The sequence below is a fragment of the Homo sapiens genome, chromosome 6 (assembly GCF_000001405.40).
Source record: "Homo sapiens chromosome 6, GRCh38.p14 Primary Assembly".
Lineage (NCBI taxonomy): Eukaryota > Metazoa > Chordata > Mammalia > Primates > Hominidae > Homo > Homo sapiens.
Window position 1 is genome coordinate 156,697,616 of NC_000006.12, and position 22,764 is coordinate 156,720,379.

The window sequence follows — 22,764 nt, forward strand, 5'->3', positions numbered from 1 at the left end:
AAAACCTAAGAAAGGGAAGCCATGTCCCTACCAGTAGGAACGCTTTCAAAGGAAGGGAAGGATGTGACAGCTGGGTGCCAGGCATGGTCCTAGAGAAACTGACATCCATTTTGTACTTTAATCCACATCAGGACACTTCAAGGTAGCTGATATTGTCTTCAATTTGCAGATGAGGAAAGAGATTAAAGAAATTAAGTGATATACGTTGGGTCATGTGGATGATAAATCATACACCAGGATTTGAAGTAAGCTTCCTCTGATTCCAGAATGTCTTCTAAGAATCTGCTACACTGCAACGTGCCTTTGGGCTGGTTAGTTACTCCCTTGAGTCCAAGCTTGGTTATCTTCCTTAATAGCTCCCTCTCTGCCCTGGATCCTATTTTTAAAAAACAACAGCTATAAAAAGTTACCCTACCAGATTAAAAAAGTCACCAATCTACAACAATTAAAACAGAACGGTGAGCAGTAAAACAGCAGTTCAAATATAAACTCAGGTGTGTGATAAAAGGAGCATTTCAGATCAATGGAGGACAAGAAGATTGTTCTATAAATGGTATTGGAAAACCTGGTTAGTGAAACAATTAGTAGATGCCCAATAAGTGTTTGTAATTTGTTTTACTGTAAAATTAAATGAGATAACACATGTTCTCCAGCTTCCGCAGTGACTGCTAAGAAAAGAGAGTCAGTGTAACTTTTTGAGGTCTGGACTTCCTAAGTCTCTCATCTAGATAGCACCCAGACCTTCATTCCTTAAAAAAATCTCCTACAATACTTTCAAATTTACAAAGTGCTTTCACTACCCCATTAGTGCAGGGCAGGTGTTCTTATTCTCACTTTCTATATATGGACACTGAGACTCAAGAGAGGTTACAATCGCAGCTGGCGTGGCCGTGTGAAACTTAAAGACGGCTTCCTGGTTCCTCGTGCCATGGTCTTAACACTAAACTCTCTATATATAGTCTCTCCCCACCCCCACCCTCATGTTCACACCACAAAATTTAACAATGGAAAACAAATAACATCAATACTTTACCAAGAGCACAGTAACTAGGTTAATTTCTATGTAATCCCAATCAGTCTTTGCCCATAGCACACATTTTACAACATTATCGTCATAGTTTAATTACAATTTAGTGGCCCATTTTCCCACTTAACAATGCTGTTTACAGTTTTGTAGCAAATGACTGATGTGCATCTTTCCTGTCTCTTGCACACTTCTCTTCTTTAAAGTCATCCATGTAAATCTCCATCTCTAATCCAATTGCTCTTAAATGAATTTCGTTCACTTGAGTGACTGCATTCAGTTGTGTTCCCCTTTACAGGCAGTCATTTATCGCTCTTCCCCCAGCAAGAAGTCCTGTTTCTTTTCCCAATCCATAGGTGACTTTAAATGTTGTTTGGTTTCCTGGGCTTTCAGGATTTCTCTCCTGCAGGTGAACCGCCAGGAGCTCTTCTTCTGCAGGTTCCTGCCTAGGTGTGAGCAGCATAAGGAACTGTCTCTTGCCTTCTTGGAGTTTATGACTATGGCACTCCTGTTAAGGAATCACTCCTCACTCCTTTTTTAACCTGTGGCTTTCCAATTTCACTTCCCCAGGCCAGTCATCACTAAAACCATGACTCACCCCCATGGTTTCCTCTCTGGCAAGGGAGAAATTTCAAACCTGAACATTTTCATCACCGTTATGTATACAGTATGATTCACGGAGACTCTATTAGCGTATTAAGTAAGTCATTATTTTCAATCGTCTACACTGTATGTTAAAAAACAGAGGCATTTTACTGCATACTTAATGTTCTATTCCCCCCATTTAGTAGATGGAAATGGCCTCATAGAAACATATCTGACTCAACCAGTCTCTGTTTGGAAACAATATAGAAAGAGACACAGAAAAGATACATTTTTTGGTCAGTGCCTGTCTTAAATGCTCCATAAGGTCAAGTTCAGTCAACTTGAAATAAGGAGTTATGGGGTCTTAACAAAGTAGCGCTCAAATAGTCTGTCAATAAATATCTATTGAATGTCAGCACCCAACTCTGTAGAAATGGCTGAAGGGAAATGCTGCTAAAAGCCACCTTGTCTGACAAACACATACACTGGCAAAATCTGCCAAAAGAGGGTGACATAAAATGAAGGTTGTAATGTTTTTAAAAGGTTGCTTTTGATCAGGCTATAACTGTAAAGTGCTTTCACTTAATTAAAATAGAGATGATAAAGCTACAGAAGAACAATAATAGTAATTGGGAAAGATACTGTTGTGATTGGTTTTGCTTTCAAGCATCTCCTTGTAAGAGTTTTATGCAAGGGGAGGGGCAAGAATCATTTTTCCTAAGAACTTATTTAATCTATTGATAAGTCTCATAATTTTCTTTTCCATCATTAAGGAGCTTTTCCTGGAGAAAAAGAAGTCCAAATTTCATTTTGGGAGGAAAGAAAGAAAATTTTTAAAAATTATGATTTAGCACGTCTTAGGCTGGGTGTAACTTTTCATGACTCAGCTAACAGGTTAGGAATGGCCAAGCATGGTTGAATATTCTGCTTTTGTGAGGCGTGGGCATTGCCAATAGTTGAAAGTTATGGTAGCTGTAATTCAGAAGCGGGAATAGAAGTGTCAACCTGAGAAAAATGTAGCACTAAAGTAACAAGCCAAATTGCTGGCATTGTCAGTAGCTGTGATTTCACTGTATTGATTGTCCCCTGTGAAATGTGAGGCTCTTTATTTGAATCATTTGTATGGGTGTCATATTGGGTTAATTGCAAAGCAATTGGATTTAATAATAATATAATGGTGTATCCATGTACATCGATTGCTAGAATTGTGAGATGTGAATTGCACTTGATCATGAGGTCGGGCTTCCCGATGCTACAGGATGAGCAAGTCCCAGGCTAATCGTGTAAATTTAAGCTGCCTAGGGTGAGCTTTAACTTATATGCCAGTTTGGATTGTTATTGCAAATGCTTTATAGGCCTGGAACATGACTGGTTATAAATGGGATGGCCTTGAACTTGAATTGTTTTAAAAAGCATAGCTTCATGTTGAGTTAACAGCATGCCGTGAAGATCAGTACCAACATAAACACAGTGAATGAAGGCTTTCTGTTGGCCATGCTTTTTTGTAGAATTTCATATTTGCTAAAATTATTTCAGTTGTAGCTAAGTTGCTTAGTCCCATTAAGTAAGAAATGCAAGAAAGATGGTTCTCGAAATGGGCAGGAATTCCCTGAACAGCATGGTCTCATGCCAAATAAACAAATCAATGACCGAGTTAATAATTTCATAATAATTGAAGATAAAACATAGTTATATATTTGCACAGTTATTTTTAACGTTTAAAATTGGTGGATATGTTTCACTTTTCCAGTTGAAGGATATTCCTTTCCAAAAGGGATGAAACAAGGGAACAATAGATTTTTATGGGAAAATTCCACATCCAAGAGATGAAAGGAAAACTTTAAAAATCAAGACAAATCTGAGGAGGAAAACTTGAGGCTTTAAAGAAAGAAGAAAAAGGAAGAGGAGGAGGAAGAAGAGAATGAGAAACAGATGAGTTAGAAAATGAGAAGATTGGCTGGGCACAGTGGCTCATGCCTGTAATCCCAACACTTTGGGAGGCCGAGGCGAGCGGATCACTTGAGGTCAGGAGTGAGACCAGCCTAGCCAATATGGCGAAATGCTGCCTCTACTAAAAATACAAAGAAATCAGCCGGGTGTGGTGGCGCATGCCTGTAATCCCAGCTACTCCGGAGGCTGAGGCGGGAGAATCGCTTGAACCTGGGAGGCAGAGGTTGCAGTGAGCCCAGATCGCATCACTATGGCACTCCAGCCCATCTCAAAAAAAAAAGAAAAAAGAAAGAAAGAAAATAAGAAGACTGAGTAACCATAAATATTGTCTGGCACAATACAGGCACTCAAATGTTTTTGAATATATACTTTGATTAACTAAGTGAAAAAGGTAGTAAAAAGGTGAGTAATAAATCAAAATGTATTGTCTAGACTGTTGAGTCTGATGTTTCTAAATAGAAACAACAAATGTTCTCCGTTTAGGCCAAGCTTTGCCACATGAGTTTACACTAAAATATCATTTCCACCAGTTATATTGACTGTGTTCACTGTTTGAACTAGTCCAATCTCTATAACGCTTTCTTCATATCATTTGACTTCATGATCAAATTAGAGAGGTGACTGGGAGAACGACTAACTTCCACAATTCATCCAAAAGCAATACAAAATCACTCACCCAAAGCCAGTACTACTGGGACCAAATGCATCCCATTTCCCTTCTGCTTTGGTGAATCTGACTTTCTTACCAACTTAAACAGCATTTTTGGGGGTACTAAGTCAAACATAAAATTAAATATGCCTAATAAGTGTATTTATCTATTAAGACATTAGCTGTATGTATTAGTTTCCTACAGGTTGGTCTTTCTAAGAGCACAGACCAATGCTAGAAGACGTTTATTAAACATTTTTCCAAAAGCTGTTCGCATGAATGTCTTCAGGGCTGAGTGGAGCCCCTTTCTAACTGCTAATGAATTATATGACCACGTGTTCAGAGCTGCGCCTGACTGAAGTTGACAGCTGAATCAACTGAAAAGAAACAGCAGCAACAGAAGAGAGAGAGAGAAAAGCTACTTTTATCTTTTACACAGATCTTTATTTTAATTTGATATATATGTAGTGATAATATTGCAGACTTAGGAGGACTTCAGGAATCTAGGAAATTCTAAAAGGGAGGCCTGAGGGAGATGAAACATCCTAACACTGGGAGGGAAATATATGTTTGTGGATAAAGTTCCACTCATGGTATTCTGTGGTGTCGGGGGACCACAGGAGTTGGCACCCCCTGTCGTGGCTACAGTTCCAATCTCTAGAGTTCCAATTTCTTGCTGTGATTTTACCATGTAGATGCCAGACACTGAATTTTCTTAATCGAAGCAAGACTGCTTAGGTCAAAATAGTAGAATGATGCGAATTTAAGTAGGAGTCAACAAAAGCAAAGCAACATGAACACAATGAATCTTACGTTACTATTCAAACATTTAGGTAGCTCCACATAAACTTTCCTGTTTTATAAAAAGTACAGATATTTTTTCAGATATTACTATGAAATTTGGACCTGATACCCAAGAAAAGTTAAAAATGAAATAACCTTCTCATTCTAAGCATATCCTTCCTCTGAATGATCTGAATGGGCTAATATTATTAAATATGTCATATTTATTATGTATTCTATAGGCACCTTTTTCTTTGTTCATAAGCATTTTATTCTTCATCTGGAGAAACAAAAAATTGAAATCCCTATTTGCTTTCAGTTTCTCCTGCTCTATGGGAGTCCCACCCTCCCTCTTTCTGTGGTATTTCTATGCCCTGCTACTATAACAGCAAAGAAAAACAAGACCACCAGGCACAGTGGCTCATGCCTGTAATCCCAGCACTTTGGGAGGCCGAAGCAGGAGGATCATGTGAAACCAAAAGTTGGAGACCAATCTTCTGGGGAACATAGCAAATACTCTACTAAAAGTAATTTTTTTTTTTTTTGAGACGGAGTTTCACTCTTATTGCCCAGGCTGGAGTGCAATGGCACGATCTCAGCTCACTGCAACCTCCACCTCCTGGATTCAAGTGATTCTTCTGCCTCAGCCTCCCAATCAACTGGGATTACAGGCATGCGTCACCATGCCCGGCTAATTTTGTATTTTTAGTAGAGATGGGGTTTCACCATGTTGGTCAGGCTGGTCTCGCACTCCTGACCTCAAGTGATCTTCCCAGCTCGGCCTCCCAAAGTGCTGGGATTACAGGCATGAGACACCGTGCCTGGCCTAAAAGTAATTTTTAAAAATTAGCCAGCTATGGTAGCACACACCTGTAGTCCCAGCTACTTGGGAGGCTGAGGCGGGAGGACTGCTTGATCCCAGGAGATAGAGGCTGCAGTGAACTATGACCACACCACTGCACTCCAGACTGGGCAACAGAGAGAGAGATCCTGTTTCAAAAAAAAAACAATGAGAAAGAAAAAGAAAAACAAGACACCTACAGTGTTTGTGTGCCAAATCTCACCAAACTTCTCTCCCCTCCAAAACCTGTGCCCTGTGTCCCTGGGCAGACACTGGCTGAAAAAAAATGGGACTCAAGGAGGGAGAAGGAGGGAGGGATTACAAAAAGCCAAATGGTACCACAGCACAGGGAATGCTGCTGGGGCTTCTCTTAGGCTTCAGTTTCTGTCTTATAAAAGATTTGCAGTTTTTATCCTGTCTCGGAACAAACAGAACCACGACTGTTGTTTCACAATCTGTGCAGCTGATTGCATAGACTGGTTGCACATTTCTGATTCTATCACATTTCCAGCAATTGTAAATGTTTCTACCGCTGGGACAGGAGGATGTTACATTGGTTTATTATTGGAAGAAAGGACAATATAACAGGGAGGGATGGCGGGAGACTGGGGGGTGGGAGAAGGCACATACTCACTGCTCTGCGTGATTCGTTGCTTGGCCATCTTCTTCCTGCTTCCAGGCACTTGTTAATGTTCTTACTGACCATATTTCAAACTCGGAAGAGAGGCACCCACTCTAACAATTATGACCATACTTGTATAACCTGGATTATATTTGAAATCAAAACTATCCCAGAAGATCTAGAACATGAGATAGCCCTATTCACAGCATTTCTTCCTCTCCATCCATCTATTAAAATCTACCCCATTGTCTAGGGACTCATCGGAGCATCCCTCCTTCAAGAAAACTCCTTTAGCTATTCCAATGTAGTGTGACTCTCCTCCTGAACTGGTAGTGTGAAAAATAGTCTTATACTTATTATAATGTTGATTACAACTATTGAGTATATTATGGTATTATATAATCACTTCATCCATATTATTTTTACATTTTCACCACGTAAAGGAAATCACACGTTATTTTTATAAAAGTGCAAAAAGGGAAAGTTTTTTTGAGAAATATATATGTATGCTGTGGCATTAGACAGTGGCTCTAATATTTATGTTTTCATGTAGTGTATGTAAATGTTGACCATTACTTAAGCACTGTTTAACATAACATGCTATAGTGTTGGAGGTCTTAGTTTCTGAGGCTGTTCATATTTATAAACTACTTTGCCTACTCCCATAACCCTCTAAAAGAGATATATCTATATTCAGTTTTCACAATTACATTAATAGATGAAGGCATAGATTAGGAGATAACCTATTTAATGATTCTTTTTGTAAGAAGTTTTAAAATCACTAGCCAAGAGAGGAGCATCATCAGTATGGCGCCTAGTGGCTGGGCCACTCTATAGACAGTTATAGTGCCTCATATTTGATGCCTTGTGTTTTCTTGTCTCCTTGTTTTACTATCTCTATTTTTTGTAATAGAATTATACCCCTTTGATGTTTGAAGGGATCAAGTATCATGCCTTCCTTCCTCTACTGCTGCTACCTAGAATGTCCATTGACATTGTCTACATCTGGTCATCTAGTCTTTGCCTCAGCAAATACACGTGATATAGAATATTTCTATCAATATTTGAAATGTGAATGTAACATTTCTAATATTGATGTCCACATTGTCAGAAAAGTTTATTCTTACAGTCAACAAAAATTTGATCCATTACCTCTAACTTCTTTTTTTTTTTTTTTTTGAGACAGTGTTTCACTCTTGTTGCACAGGCTAGAGTTCAATGGCATGGTCTCGGCTCACTGCAACCTCCGCCTCCTGGGTTCAAGTGATTCTCCTGCCTCAGCCTCCCAAGTAGCTGGGATTACAGGTGCCCGCCATCACGTCCAGCTAATTTTTGTATTTTTAGTAGAGATGGGGTTTCACCATGTTGGCCAGGTTTGTCTTGAACTCCTGACCTCAGGTGATCCACCCGTCTCGGTCTCCCAAAGTGTTGGGATTGCAGGCGTACAGGCGTGAGTCACCGTGCCCGGCCCCATTACCTCCAACTTCTAAACTTTGGTCCTAAATATGCTCTCTGAAGGAATTAAAAAAAAATCTACCCCCAATTTTCCAAGAAAGCCCTTCATAAATACATAGCTTTTTCACTGTTCCACATGAATATTCTCTTCTCCAAGTCAAAGGGCCTCAATTCTTCCAATGGTTCTTTTAGGCATTTCAACATTCTTCTCTTTCATTCATTCAATCAACTTTTACTGAAGATCCACTATGTTTAAAGCATTGTGCTGCATGCTCTCTATATAATGATGAGCAAAGTCAGACATGGTTCCCATTCTCATGGAGCTCAGAGACAGGGAAAACATTTATCACATAATCACACTAGTGGATTGATCATTAAAAGCTCAGATAAGGACTCACAAGGAAAAGGCCACCATTCTATGCAAGCGTAAGACAAAGGAACCTGCCTCTGAGAATCCAGGAAAGATTTCTCTGATAAAGAGATGATTGAGTTGAGACTTGAAGAAATAGCAGAATAAATGGGGAGAAGGGAGGACAGACAAAAGAACAGATAGAGGAAACAGCTTGTTCATGGATGCTGAAAAGAGAGGGTGCGTGGCATGTTCAAAGCATGAGAGAATAGCATGATTAGGGTACAGAGAATGAGGGATAGAAAGGTGAGAGGTAAAGTTAGAGAGTCCAGCAGAAATAACATTTTGACTCGAGGTCAGGAGTTCGAGACCAACCTGGCCAACATGGTGAAACCCCGACTCTACTAAAAATACAAATAATTAGCCGGACGTGGTGAGGGGTGCCTGTAATCCCAGATACTGGGGAGGCTGAGGCAGGAGAATTGCTTGAACCCGGGAGTCAGAGGTTGCGGTGAGCCGAGATTATGCCACTGCACTCTAGGCTGGGTGACAGAGCGAGACTCTGTCTCAAAAAAAAAAAAAAACAAAAGAAACCATACGCAATGTAAAAAACAAGGAAAGTAAGAAAAAGAAAACTTTCCACTGATTAAAAAAAAAAGTACATAGTCTTACTTTCAATTTATAGTAGTTTTATTTTTGGAGGGGAAAGAATACTCCCATCTGGTTTTTCTTAATTTCTGGTTCAGGTTGCTCTTACAAATATTGTGGCTACATATTTCTAGCTTATTCATTTATAACAGAATCTGACTCTTTTTGTCTTTTTACAGAATTCTTTGTTGGATGAGTCCCTCTTTTGAACAATCTTGCAGACATGGCTTTTTCTTTTCTTTTCTTTCTTTTTTTTCTTTTTGAGACAGAGTCTCACTCTGTCACCCAGGCTGGAATACAGTGGCACAATCTCGGCTCACTGCAATCTCCACCTCCTGGGTCCAAGCTATTCTCCTGCCTCAGCCTCCTGAGTAGCTGGGACTACAGGTATGCACCACCACGCCCGGCTAGATTTTGTATTTTTAGTAGAGACAGGGTTTCACCATGTTGGCCAGGCTGGTCTTGAACTCCTGACCTCAAGTGATCCTCGGCTTCCCAAAGTGCTGGGATTACAGGCGTGAGCCACCGCGCCTGGCCCAGACCTGGCTTTTTCTGGCTCACCCACATCCGCCACCTCAAACTGTTCCTGCCTCATGCCTCTGTCTCTGTCCCCTGCCCTTCTCCAATTCATTTTGCACAAGCACCAGCCTGCCAGAATCCTATCCCTAAAATCCTGCTTTCATCATTTCTCTTTTCGAAAACTTACAATGGCTCCCTATTTTCAGCACATAAAATGTAATGTTCTGTTTAGAACACACAACAAAGCCCCATGCAATGGCTCACAACTGTAATCCCAGCACTTTGGAAGGCTGAGGTGGGAGCATCCCTTGAGTCCAAGAGTTTAAGACCAGCCTGGCAACATAGCAAGACCTGGCAACATAGCAAGACCCCATCTCTACAAAAAAAAAAAAAAAAAAAAAAAAAAAAATTAGCTGGGCGTGGTAGTGCATGCCTGTAGTTCCAGTGGGCTGAGGAGAGAGAATGGCTTGATCCTGGGAGTTCAAGGCTGCAGTGAATTACGATCACACCACTGCACTCCAGCCTTCCAGCCTGGGCAACAGAGTAAGGCCCTGTCTCTAAAAAATAAAAATAAATAAATAAATAAGGACCACAGAACATTCCACAATCTGGCCCCGTTAATTCATTCAATCGTTTTACCTCCTCCTCCACTGGGCTGGCATCAGAACCAGCTCCCCACATTCCGCTCTGTCCTTCCCTCTGTGCTTTGGTACCTATCTCTCCTTTGTCTGAAATATCCTCTGCTAGTCCCTTCACCGAGTCAAATGTCACCCATCTTTCAAGGTCCAGTAGGAAAACTCTAATGTTGAAATTGCTTTACCTTCTACAAGAAAATTGCCAGTAAAAAACTAACTTTATGGAGGTTTTGCTATGCATGCTCTTTACATGAATTATCTCATTTAGTACTCAGAATAGACCTGTGAGGTAAGCAACATTTTGCAAATGATGAGATTAAGTTAATTTATGTAAAGCACCTAGAACAGTGCCTGCCCATAATAAAGATTCAATAAACGTTGGCTGTCGTTACGCTTACTGGAGGAATTTAGTCATTTTCCCAGATTACTCAGCAGCAAGTGAAAGAGCTGGAATTCCAATTCTGACATCAGAGCCCACCCTCTATCTTGCTAAGGGCAAAAGTGCTCTATTTGCACAGCTCCCACCTTGCCAAACTTCTCCAACTCTTGAATGTTTTAGCCATTGGGGTATCTGTTCTATTCTACTTTGCATGCAAGGGCTAGCTTACTTGCACTTTTACTTTTTCTTCAGTATATGTTTTTTGTTTTGTTTTTTGAGACAGAGCTTGCTGTGTCACCCAGGCTGGAGTGCAGTGGCATGATCTTGGCTCACTGCAACCTCTGCCTCCCGGGTTCAAGTGACTCTTCTGCCTCAGCCTCCCGAGTAGCTGGAATTACAGGCATGCGCCACCATGCCAGGCTAGTTTTTGTATTTTTAGTAGAGACAGGGTTTTACCATGTTGGCCAGGCTGGTCTCAAACTCCTGACCTCAAGTGATCTGCCAGCCTCAGCGTCCCCAAGTGCTGGGATTACAGGCGTGAGCCACTGCACCTGGCCCAGTATACGTTGTCTTAACACTATGACTATGCTGCCATTTGCTCAAGAGTAAAGATCAGTGGTGTGCTGATGAATGTTTAACAACCAGCTCTCCAGGAGGGGAGAGTGATGTGTTTGCTGATTTCAGTGGTATAAACATTCCTCCCACAGCCAATTTCAAGATATCAAAGTAAAGTCAATCATCTCAAAGCTCCTGATATTTTAACAATTAGCTCTTGTGAGTTGGTGCAAGCTGGCTGTGGCACACCACTGATACTAAGGATTGTATCTTGTGCTGTATTCTCTTGTATCTTTCTTAGTTCCACGCACAGTGCTAAGCAAATAGGATGCATGACCACATATAGGGAGCTTCTGGTTCGAGGTTGTAAATTGCATATAAGCATTTATTCAGCCTACTCCCCAAAATCCCATTAAAATGATGATACGCAAAAAATAATACTTCCATGAGAGTGCTTAAACACAAAAGGGTGCCAACAGTCGATTAGAAAATTTGAAAAATGTATGAAAGACACAAAGGCAGACGGAATCCCATTGGTGGATGAACCAGAGGAAATCACAACTGAAATAAGTCCAGATGAGGGCTGCAGTGGAGATGGGAAGTGTATTAGGCCATTCTTGCACTACTGTAAAGAAATACTTGGCCAGGCACGGTGGCTCACGCCTGTAATCCCAGCACTTTGGGAGGCAAGTGGATCACTTGAGGTCAGGAGTTCGAAACCAGCCTGGCCAATATGGTGAAACCCTGTCCCTATTAAAAATACAAATATTAGTCAGGCGTGGTGGTGGGGACCTGTAATCCCAGCTACTGGGGAGGCTGAGGTGGGAGAATTGCTTGAACCCAGGAGGCAGAGGTTGCAGTAACCCAAGATCGCACCACTGCACTCCAGCCTGGGCAACAGAGCGAGACTCCATCTCAAAAAAAAAATCAAGTGAGAAACTTCTAGAGCTCCTGCAGTAAAAATGTACACTCATTCCACAAGAACACTTTCACATCCCCTAGGAAAGAAAAAAATAATAAAGGGCAGTTCACAGTCAAAAATTACAAGGCCCACAAAGAAATAAATTACCATGAGGTGGAGTCAACAGACCCAGCAAATGGAAGAATCAGCCCTCAGAGAGCTGCATATAAAAGCAAGCACACTCTAAAAGAGACTATGAAGTAACTCTAACATGACTAAAGGTATACACAAAGGCATATAAACTATAACGAAAGGAAACGATAATATAAAAACAGAGCAAACAACTTTGAAAAAAAATTGAGTCTCTATACATGAAAAATATGGTCACTGAAATGAAAAACTCAGTGAACAGGGCCAGGGGCAGTGGCTCACGTTTGTAATCCCAGCACTCTGGGAGGCTGAGGTGGGCAGAACACTTGAGGTCAGGAGTTCGAGGCAAGCCTGGCCAACTTGGTGAAACTTTGTCTCTACCAAAAAATCCAAAAATTAGCCCAGCATACTGATGCACGCCTGTAATCCCAGCTACTCGGGAGGCTGAGGCACGAGAATCGCTTGAACCCAGGAGGCAGAGGTTGCAATGAGCCAAGATTGCGCCACCAAACTCCAGCCTGGGTGACAGAGCGAGACTCTGTCTTAAAAAAAGAGAAGAAAAGAAAAGAAAAAGAAAACCTCAATGAACAGGGTAATGAACAGATAAGAGAAATGTGAGGAAAGAATCCATAAATCAGTAGATAGATTTCAATAAATTTCTCAGAATGCAGAAAAAATGCAGAAACATTACCTTATAGGTACCATCCCAAAATTTTGAATCTACTTTGTTCTTTTAGTAACATAATCTCTCTAGATTAGGTCTAAACATGAATTACCTTATACCAGATTCTGCTCTGTAGTGAACTGGCCAAGGGGACAATGTAGCTTAATCCCAGTTTTGTAGAATTCAAATTACAGTTTACACACAGTCATGAGCCAAGTAATGACGTTTCGGTTAACAATGAGCTGCATATATGATGGTGGTCTCATAAGATTATAATGATAATGGAGCTGAAATATTCCTATTGCCTAATGAAGTCATAGCTGTCATAACATTGCAGCACAATGTACTACTCGTGTGTGTGTGTGTGTGTGTGTGTGTGGTGATGCTGGTGTAAACAAACCTGCTGTGCTGCCAGTTGTATAAAAGTCTAACCCATACAATTATGTACATTACATAATACAGCTGAGAATTTTTCAGAACTAAAGAAAAACATAAACAAGTCTTCAGATTTCAGAAGCGTACAAAGGCCCTAGAGGTATAAAAATCAAAAATTAAAATGTCACAATTTGCTACACTATGATGAAACTTCAGAATGTCAATGATAAGAAGAAAAATCTTAACAAAGGACAAAAGCAAATCTCCTAAAAGCAAAAAGCAAAAAAACATCCAATTAAACCATCATCAAATTTGTCATCAGTCTCAATAGATGTTTGTAGGAAATGAATGGCATCTTTGGATCCCATGGGGCTAAAGGAAGATAATTCTCATCTTAGATCACGCTCATTCCATACCCAGTTAAATCTTCATTCAGGACTGAGAATGAAACAAGTACATTTTAAATCAACAATCTTGGGAGTTAGCCACACAATAACCCTTTCTAAAAGAGCTACTAGGCTGGGCTCGGTGGCTCGCGACTGTAATCCCAGCACTTTGGGAGGCCGAGGTGGGCAGATCAACTGAGGTCAGGCATTGGAGACCACCCTGGCCAAAAAGGCGAAACCCCGTCTCCACTAAAAATACAAAAATTAGCTGCGCATGGTGGCGCTCGCCTGTAATACTAGCTACACAGGAGGCTGAGGCAGAGGTTGCAGTGAACAGAGTGGAGATCATGCCACTGCACTCTAGCCTGGGCAACAGAGCGAGACTCCACCTCAAAAATAATAATAAAATAAAATAAAATAAATGACCTACTAAAGGGTTTACTTCAATAAGGAAAACCACAGAATCCAGACAGAAGAAGTCAAGGACAAAATCCAAGGGTGAATAAAGAAATTTGTACATATATTGTCAAATAACAATAAGAAATACTGATAACCAACTTGAGAGGACTTTAAAAATAAGATAATGCTGAGTACCAGCCAACAACAACATGGAAGACTGCAGAGGAAAATCTGAATGAAAAATTCCTAAGCTTCCTATATTAGTCTGGAGGAGAAGAGAGATACTAATTAACTTTACATTCTTTAAGAATTTTTTAAAATAAATATTAAAGGAATAGAATTAGAATGTATAATTTCTTAACCAAAAGAGGGGAAAAGAAGGAAAATAAAAGAATAAAAGAATATAACAATGAGATATTGGCAATATCAATAAGGCAGGAATGAGAGGAATGGGAAAATACCCAAAAATACAAAATCTAAATCAATTCCAAATAAACCTGAATTAACAGCCTAAAAAATATGTTGAGTGATACATAATAAGTTATATGAATACATACATATTTTTAAAAATAAATCAATACAAAATATTGTTCATGGACAGATACATGAAGAAAAATATAAAAACAGGCCAGGCATGGTGGCTCATGCCTATAATTCCAGTACTTAGGGAGGCTGAGGCAGGAGGATCACTTGAGTCCAGGAGTTTGAGACCAGCCTGGCCAACATAGTGAGACCTCATCTCTACAAAAAATAAACAAAATTAGCTGGGTGCGGTGGAGCATGCCTGTGATCCTAGCTACTCAGGAGGCTGAGGCAGGAGGATTTCTTGAGCCCAGGAGGTTGCACTGAGCCAAAATTGTGCCACCACATTCCAGCCTGAGCAACAAAGCAAGACACTGTATCAAAAAAAAAAAAAAAAAAAGGAAAGGAAAAGAAAAATATAAAAACATGGATGGGAAAGATAGTGGCTCCCTCCTGCAGGGAAGGAAGATTGAAGACAGGTACAAAGGGGTTTCAGAGTACCTTCACATTTTTTTAATAATGAGAAACCAAAAAAAGGAAGAAAGAGAAGGAGGAGGAAGAGGAAGAGGAGGAAGGAAGGAAGATCAATGATGAGCCATTCAGTCCAACACAAATAATTGTACACAAACAGGCAACTCAAGAAAACTGCCCCCTCAACAAATTAAAAAGCACAGAAAAACAGATAAGGCATGAGTAAGTACAAAATAAGACCTACGAAGGATGATTTAAAAACGGTTTGTCTTCAGTTACTGGTATTGGCTTTGACCTCCTAACTGGAAAAGAAAATGGATTTAATTTGCTAAAAAAGATTGATACTAGGCCAGGCATGGTGGCTCACGCCTGTAACCCCAGCACTTTGGGAGGCTGAGGTGGCTGGATCATGAGGTCAGGAGTTCAAGACCAGCCTGACCAACATAGTGAAACTCCATCTCTACTAAAAATACAAAAAATTAGCTGGGCGTGGTGGCGGGCACCTATAATCCCAGCTACTCGGGAGGCTGAGGCAGAGAATTGCTTGAACCCGGGAGGTGGAGGTTGTAGTGAGCCGAGATCGCACCACTGCACTCAAGCCTGGATGACAGAGCGAGACTTTGTCTCAAAAAAAAAAAGATTGATATTAGAGTGAAGGGCGACTATGTGACTCTAGGATATTTTAATATTTGACAGAGTTTAGTGTATGTATTTTAGAAAATCTTGTGTCCTTGAAATATTTACAAATAAGAATAATTTGACTAATTTAATAAAGACCTCTTTCTGAAAGCAAAAGGGTACACTACTAGATCACTGGTTCTCAAACTTAGTGATCTGAAAATTTGGGAGTAAAAAACTGCAAACGGTGTTGAACAAGTAAAAGCAACCTCAGGATGCTTCCAATTCTTTTTTTCTTTTCTTTTTTTGTCTGTCTGTCTCCAAGGCTAGAGTGCAGTAGTACGATCATGGCTCATTGCAGCACAGACCTCCTGGGCTCAAAAAATCCTCCCTCCTTGGCCTCCTGAGTAGCTGGGACTACAGATGCACGCCACCACACCTCAGTAATTTTTTTAAAAATGTTTTGTAGAGACGGGCATCTCACTATGTTGCCCAGGCTGGTCTCGACCTCCTGGGCTCAATGATCCTCCCACCTCAGCCTCCCAGGTGCTAGGATTAAAGGCGTGAGCCAATTCTAAACGCCTCAAGCTAAGGAGGTTCCTCCACCCACCACCATTTGCCAGTATTCTGAAGAGGAGGAGGAGGAGGCAGAGGAGGAGGCAAAGGAGGAGGGAGGAGGAAGGGGAGGAAGAAGAGGAAGAGCTCAAAAGTAAAACTAAATCACTCACTACTTTTACCTACACGTTGCTACTTTTACCTACTTGTTCTCTGTCATTTCTCACTAAGGCAAAGAGGTGGATGCAAAGAGAATTTGAATAAATTTGATAGCTTTCTACTACATTTCCTCTCCCACAATTCTTCGTCAGGTATTGGCTCTTCCTTACCTTGGCCAGAGTCAAGAGAAAGGAGGATAGAATTACTTGTCTTTCAAATCAATTATCAGTAGGAAATTTTGCTACCGGTTGTTATTAAGTTTATGGCAGCTAAAAATGTACCTTCTGCTTTTCTGTCTTCTTTCAAAGTGATGACAAAGATTTTTACCCAGACACCAAGACCACCAGACATATCTTGGGTCAGTCCTATAAGACCCTTCAGGACTGCAGAAAGGTACCATGAGTACTTTGGGGACAACCAGACTATATGATCTCAACCATTCCAGCCAGAGGGAGATTCTGAAATGGCATTTTTTCCCCCAATACTCTTTTTTTATTGAGGTATAATTTACATATTATAAAATGTACATACTTTAAATATACAATTCTGTTAATTTTGATGAAACTGTATACCCATCTCAATCAGGATACAGTGTAAAGTCATTTTTAAAGGGAGTTTATTACCTGGATAGACCCAATAGCAATGAAGCACAGTAACTTCTTCAGTTTCCAGATCTTATATTTGAAATGGTAGAAACAGCATCAAAGACTTAACAGCTAATGAGAGACAGTGTGGCAAACAGTGCATTTTACCCCATCTGTAAGAACGGTTCTATTTTCCAAAGTCACTTAGCTAAGCAACAGTAAATGCTATAAATCACTGTAAAGTGATTTGTACTTTCAAGTACAAATCTTAACATTTATATGCTGAAAAGCGATTCATCATACTTTATTTCTTTCAAATTTCCTTACACCGCCACATGAATAAGCGATATATCTTATCTTCTGTCCTATCTGAAAAATCTGGATTAACAGCCTTGGCTGAATTCTATTCTAGCCACAGGAGTACAGGGCTACAAATAGTTCTCTTTAAGTCAAAGGAAAATAACAACAAATACAGGAACACTTCACTCTGAAGTTCCTTTATTTTGGCTTAAGCCTCTCTTAACAGGCTCTTTTCAAGCCTTTGGAGCATTATTAAACGATCCTACTATTGATTTTCAGCGCTGAGTACTGGTGAAAATGGAGCGCCTTCCGCTCTAATGACTGAAGTCCCCTCACTGTCTAAAGGACAGGTACAAAGGCAGGAGACGCACTTGGAGTTCATTCTTACAACCATCCTCATGACTTAGATTTTAACGCCTGGAAATAGGACAGGTGGGAAATAGGACACGGAATTCAACTCATCTCTCTTACTTAAATATAACACTGCTGCTATTTCTGCTACTTGTGAAATTTTTTAAGTATTGGTATATTTTGCTATTCAGCATGAAGCTGTATGCTTCATTTCCACCTTTGAAATCCAAATTTCCAAGTAATCACTTTTAGGAAAGCATTCCTCTATTTTCAGCTTCATTCTCCATGGACCATTTATTTATTTGTGATGCCAAGCCATTGAGTAACCAGAGGTTACAGTAAGAATTCGTCATGCCAGTTTCCATCTTAAAAAGAAAAGCCTTCAAGACAAGCAAACCATTTTTTTTAATGGGTAAAAGAAATGAACAGGCATTTCATATAAGAGGGAAAAGAGAATAGTCTCATAAGTTCAACCTCATAAATAATCAGGAAAGTGCAAATTAAAGCCACAATGAGACACCATTTCACACCCCATCAGATTAGCAAAAATTTGTAGTCTGACAATACCAAGTGTTGATGAGGATGTAAAACTACAGAAACTCTCATACAAATTGGTATGGGGGGAGGTGTCTAAATGGGCAAAGCTTGTTGGAAAGAAATGTGTATTACCTAGCAAAGGTGGTGCACACACCCCTTATCCCAGGTATTCTGTTTCTGGGAGACATGTACACACACATACACACACACACACACACTGGACTGTATGTTAGGGTTAGGTGATATTAGTGTTAATTTTATTGTGTGACAATTCTGAAGTATTTAGGAGTGAAATGTCAAGATGTCTACAACTTTTAAATGGTTCAGCAAAAAACAAACAAAAACGTGGAGAGAGACAAGGAGAAAGAGAGAGAAACAGAGAAAGCAAATGTGATAAAATGTCTTTAAAAGGGAGTGGCAGGCTCTGAGGGCAGAGTCTGCAAGTTTGAATCATGGCTGTGCCAATTATTGATTGTAATCTGGGTAATTTATTGAAGCTCTCTCTACCTCGGCTTAGTCATCTATAGAATAGGAGTAATAGTGGTATATACTTGACAGAGATGTCGCATTAAATAATTCATGTGAAGTACTCCAAGCAGTTGCTGCTTTCTCATAAGCCTTCGATAAATGTTAGTTATTACTTCCGTTAGTTCCATTCTGCAGATGATGTAAATTGAGACTCAAAAAAAGTGAAGTACAGGCCGGGCGCGGTGGCTCACGCCTATAATCCCAGCACTCTGGGAGGCCGAGGCGGGCAGATTGCCTGAGCTCGGGAGTTCAGGACCAGCTTGGGCAACACGGTGAAACCCCGTCTCTACTAAAATACAAAAAATTAGCAGGGCTTGGTGGCGGGCGCCCGTAGTCCCAGCTACTCGGGAGGCTGAGGCAGGAGAATGGCGTGAACCCGGGAGGCGGAGCTTGCAGTGAGCCGAGATTGCGCCACTGCACGGACAGGGCGAGACTGGTCTCAAAAAAAAAAAAAGAAAGAAAGAAAATTAGCTGGGTGTGGCGGCATGCGCCTGTAATCCCAGCTACTCGGTAGGCTGAGGCAGGAGAATCGCTTGAACCTGGGAGGCAAAGATTGCAATGAGCTGAGATCGCGCCACTGCATTCCACCCTGGGCAACAGAGCAAGATTCTGTCTCAAAAAAAAAAAAAAAAAGCTTTGGTTGAACTTCATCACAGCACTTTGTATAGGAGTGAGAAATTACTACCTAGATATTTAATAGGTGAATAGTAATAAACCAAAGAAATATTCTTACACAGAACTCATTTGCAGCCATTAAAATTGTATTTTTAAATGAATATTTAGTGACACAATGAAATGTTCACTATATTATTATACATTAATGTTATATTAAATTTAAAAATATAGGATCCCCAAACATTAATAATTATAAATATATACATAACACAGAGCTACAGATGCACACATATATACATGTGTTTCTGTGTATATATTATATATGAATGTATACATATGACATATAATGTATTTATGTGTACATATATGATATGCTGCATTTATATCTACATATATAGAGACATATAAGGTATACTGGATTCTGTAGGGGGGGGGGCACAGAAAAACCTGGAAGTTTATATACCAAAAAGATTTTGAAGTAGTTAGAAGTGGGTTTCTCTGAATGTAGAGATGGGGAGTGACTTTTCCTTTTTTTTCTCATCTAATCTGTATTTCTTATGTTTCTACAGTGAAAATGTAAAACTAGTGACTGTGGAGAACAATTTGGCAGTATCTAATAAAGTTGTAGATTGTATACTTAAAATCCTGAAACATTTCCACTCCTGGATGAAAGTCTTTACACATGCACAATGCAACACATACAAGAAGGTTCACAGCAACACGGTTTATAATAGAGAAAAAGTGGAAACAAGGCCAGGCGCAGTGGCTCATGCCTATAATCCCAACATTCAGGAGGCCAAGGCCAGAGGATTGCCTAAGCCCAGGAGTTTGAGACCAGCCTGGACAACATATGAGACCTCCTCCCTAAGAAACATAAAAAATAATTAGCCTAGTGTAATGGCACACACCTGTGGTCCCAGCTGCTTGGGAGGCTGAGGTAGGAGAATAACTTGAGCCCTGGAGGTTGGGGCTGCAATGAGTCAAGATCATGCCACTGCACTCCAGCTTGGATGACAGTGCAAGACCCTGTCCGGAAAAAAAAAAAAGATGTAAACAACTTATATCCATCAACAGAAGCATGGCCATTCTAGACAAAGGACGCTTCGGCAGCAGAGCTGCTGTCATCAATGTGTATATATCAGAAAAATATTGTGATATAGCTGGAGCGATACAGCTGCCAACTGTAGAAATGTAAGTGCAGTATGATATCGTTCATATAAAAATTGTTTGAAATGCAAACTAACACTTTATGGTGTACTGTGTATGTGTATACGCCTGTGCATATGTAGTAAACCTTTTAATGCCTGGGAACGATAAACACCCAGTGTAAGGTAATATTTATCTCTGGAATTTGAAGAAGGAAAATGAGATTAGGAAGGAGGAAACGTCAGTGGTGGGGGCTTCGATTACATCTGTAAAGCCTTATCTCTTGGGCTATGTAGTGGACTACATATGGGTTTTTGTTTGTTTGTTTGTTTTGGGTTGTTTTTGAGGGAAGGTCTCATTCTGTTGCCCAGGCTGGAGTGCAGTGGCACAATGCTGGCTCACGGCAGCTTCAAACTCTCTGGCTCAAGTGATCTTCCCACCTCAGCCTACATATGTTTATTATAAAATTCTCTGTAGGTTTTTGTATGCCTGAAATGTTTCATAATTTAAAAGTAGTACTCATATAATGAAATTTTAAAATTAAAATTTAATTTAAATGTGTCTCTGAGAATGTAATTAGTTGAAGGTACAATCATAAACTTCAGGAATAATTTGGAAAAATATTTTTACATTTTTATTTCTGGCAAAAACAGGATTTCCAAACCAGAACATATAATTTCTCCAAAAACAGAAATGATTTTTAATGACAATATTTTATTGTCATTATTACTCAATTTTGTTTAAAACCCAAAGTATCTCCATCAGAGGGAAAAATTAAGACAAAACACTTCCCTTCCTAAAAAAAAATATGTCTAAAAGAGGGAGTTAGTGAAGACATTGAATCTGTAAAAAGTGGTAGTCATTTTATTCTACCAACATATTCTAAATTTAGAGGGAAATCCACGGCTAGAGCAGCCCCTGGGTGACTCAGCCCAGCTTCCAGGCTTGGCAGAGCCAATCAGCACAGTGTGGCCGACTCCGCCAGGGGCTGGATTACACATCTGCACGCGGTTCAACAGCTTCGTTAGTGACACAGAGTCAAGCTAGCTTGAAAAGCAGGTAAGGAAAACACTCGGCGCATTCCACATTTTCCCTTAAGGAGAATTACACCTTCAAGTCAAGCTGCATTTTGCATGCCTAGGACCCCCAAAACACTATTTAAATTATGTACAGAAACCATTTCATCCCCAGTGAAATATATTTGTCTCTTCCGGAGAAATAAGGGGTGACCCAGTCCCCAAAGAGTCCACCCCCCAGGGTGAAGACCCCCGCTCCGCAAGGATCACAGGTGGGTGTTCCAAGGCATCCACACTCTGGTTTTGTTTTTTTTTTTTGTTTTTTTGTTTTTTGGGTTTTTTTTTTTTTTGTATCAACTTCTCTTTTTTTTTTTTTTTTTTTTTTTCCGAGACGGAGTCTCCCTCTGTCTCCACACTCCAGCCTGGAGTGTGGTGCGATCTTGGCTCACTGCGAGCTCCGCCTCCCGGGTTCAGGCGATTCTCCTGCCTCAGCCTCCTGAGTAGCTGGGATTACAGGTGCCCGCCACCAGGCCTGGCTAATTTTTTGTATTTTTAGTAGAGACTAAAAATTCGCCATGTTGTTTCGCCATGTTGGCCAGGCTGGCCTCGAACCCCTGTCCTGAGGTGATTCACCCACCTCGGCCTCCCAAAGTGCTAGGATTACAAGCATGAACCACCGCGCCCTGCCATTAACGTCTCTTAAAGCACACACTCTGTCTCAAAGGCTGGAGGGTTTGGGAACGTTCTCGTCCTTTCTGTGACCCATCTACCACAGTCTTGGGGGTAAAAGCCCCGGTTTAAAAAGCTGGGAAATTCCACCTCATGGCCACGCGGTCTCAGCAGCTCTGGCGACTGGGAAACGTAGGGTTACAGGGCGGTAAAGATCATCAGAAAGGAGGGCTGAGGAGAGAAACTAAAGACTAAAGGTGAGAGGTCACAAACCCTGAAATTAGTAAAGATCTACGTTGTCGGGGGTGGGGGTGCGTGTGCGCCCAGCAAAAAGCCTCTGCGTCCACACAGGGATCCACCGCGGGGCTTCTGGAACTCACAGGCTCCCTCGGAGCCTTCAAAGACGCGACCTGATTGACAACAATTTTGTTTACACACCACACGCCCTGGGAAAGCCACACACCAGTGCCGGCGTTCCAGACGCTTCCTCTGCGCAGAGCCGGCCCAGGACGGGGGCGGGGCGGGCCCTGTTGCTCAACTCACCTCTCCCGCCCCGCACCCGCTCCCCGGGGAGGCGCCGACCCAGCGAAACTGGTGCATGTGTCAGCCGCCCAGCACCGGCCCAGGAGGCCGGCCGCGCCGCAGGCCGGCCTGGGAAAACGCCCAGCGGCTGCAGGCCTCCCGCTGCGCGCTGCGTGGTTCTGCACTGCACTCAGGACCTGTCAGGAGCAACACACACGCACATGCACACGCCCACACACATGCACACAGACACACACGTGCACACACTGCGTCGGTAGGAATAGCTCAGAGGTGCCCTTCCT

General features: G+C 41.1%; 3 annotated features.

Annotated features, from left to right (window-relative positions):
- Window positions 1,237–1,476: an enhancer, noted in NCBI's record as "active region_25314". NCBI's record gives its function as "activates an Ori minimal core promoter by ATAC-STARR-seq in GM12878 lymphoblastoid cells {active_cell/tissue: GM12878}" and the evidence as "EXISTENCE:reporter gene assay evidence [ECO:0000049][PMID:35858748]".
- Window positions 10,921–11,098: a silencer, noted in NCBI's record as "fragment chr6:157029670-157029847 (GRCh37/hg19 assembly coordinates)". NCBI's record gives its function as "represses an EF-1alpha promoter that drives an FKBP-Casp9 reporter gene in an ReSE screen in HepG2 liver carcinoma cells {active_cell/tissue: HepG2}" and the evidence as "EXISTENCE:reporter gene assay evidence [ECO:0000049][PMID:32094911]".
- Window positions 22,380–22,699: a silencer, noted in NCBI's record as "silent region_17707". NCBI's record gives its function as "represses an Ori minimal core promoter by ATAC-STARR-seq in GM12878 lymphoblastoid cells {active_cell/tissue: GM12878}" and the evidence as "EXISTENCE:reporter gene assay evidence [ECO:0000049][PMID:35858748]".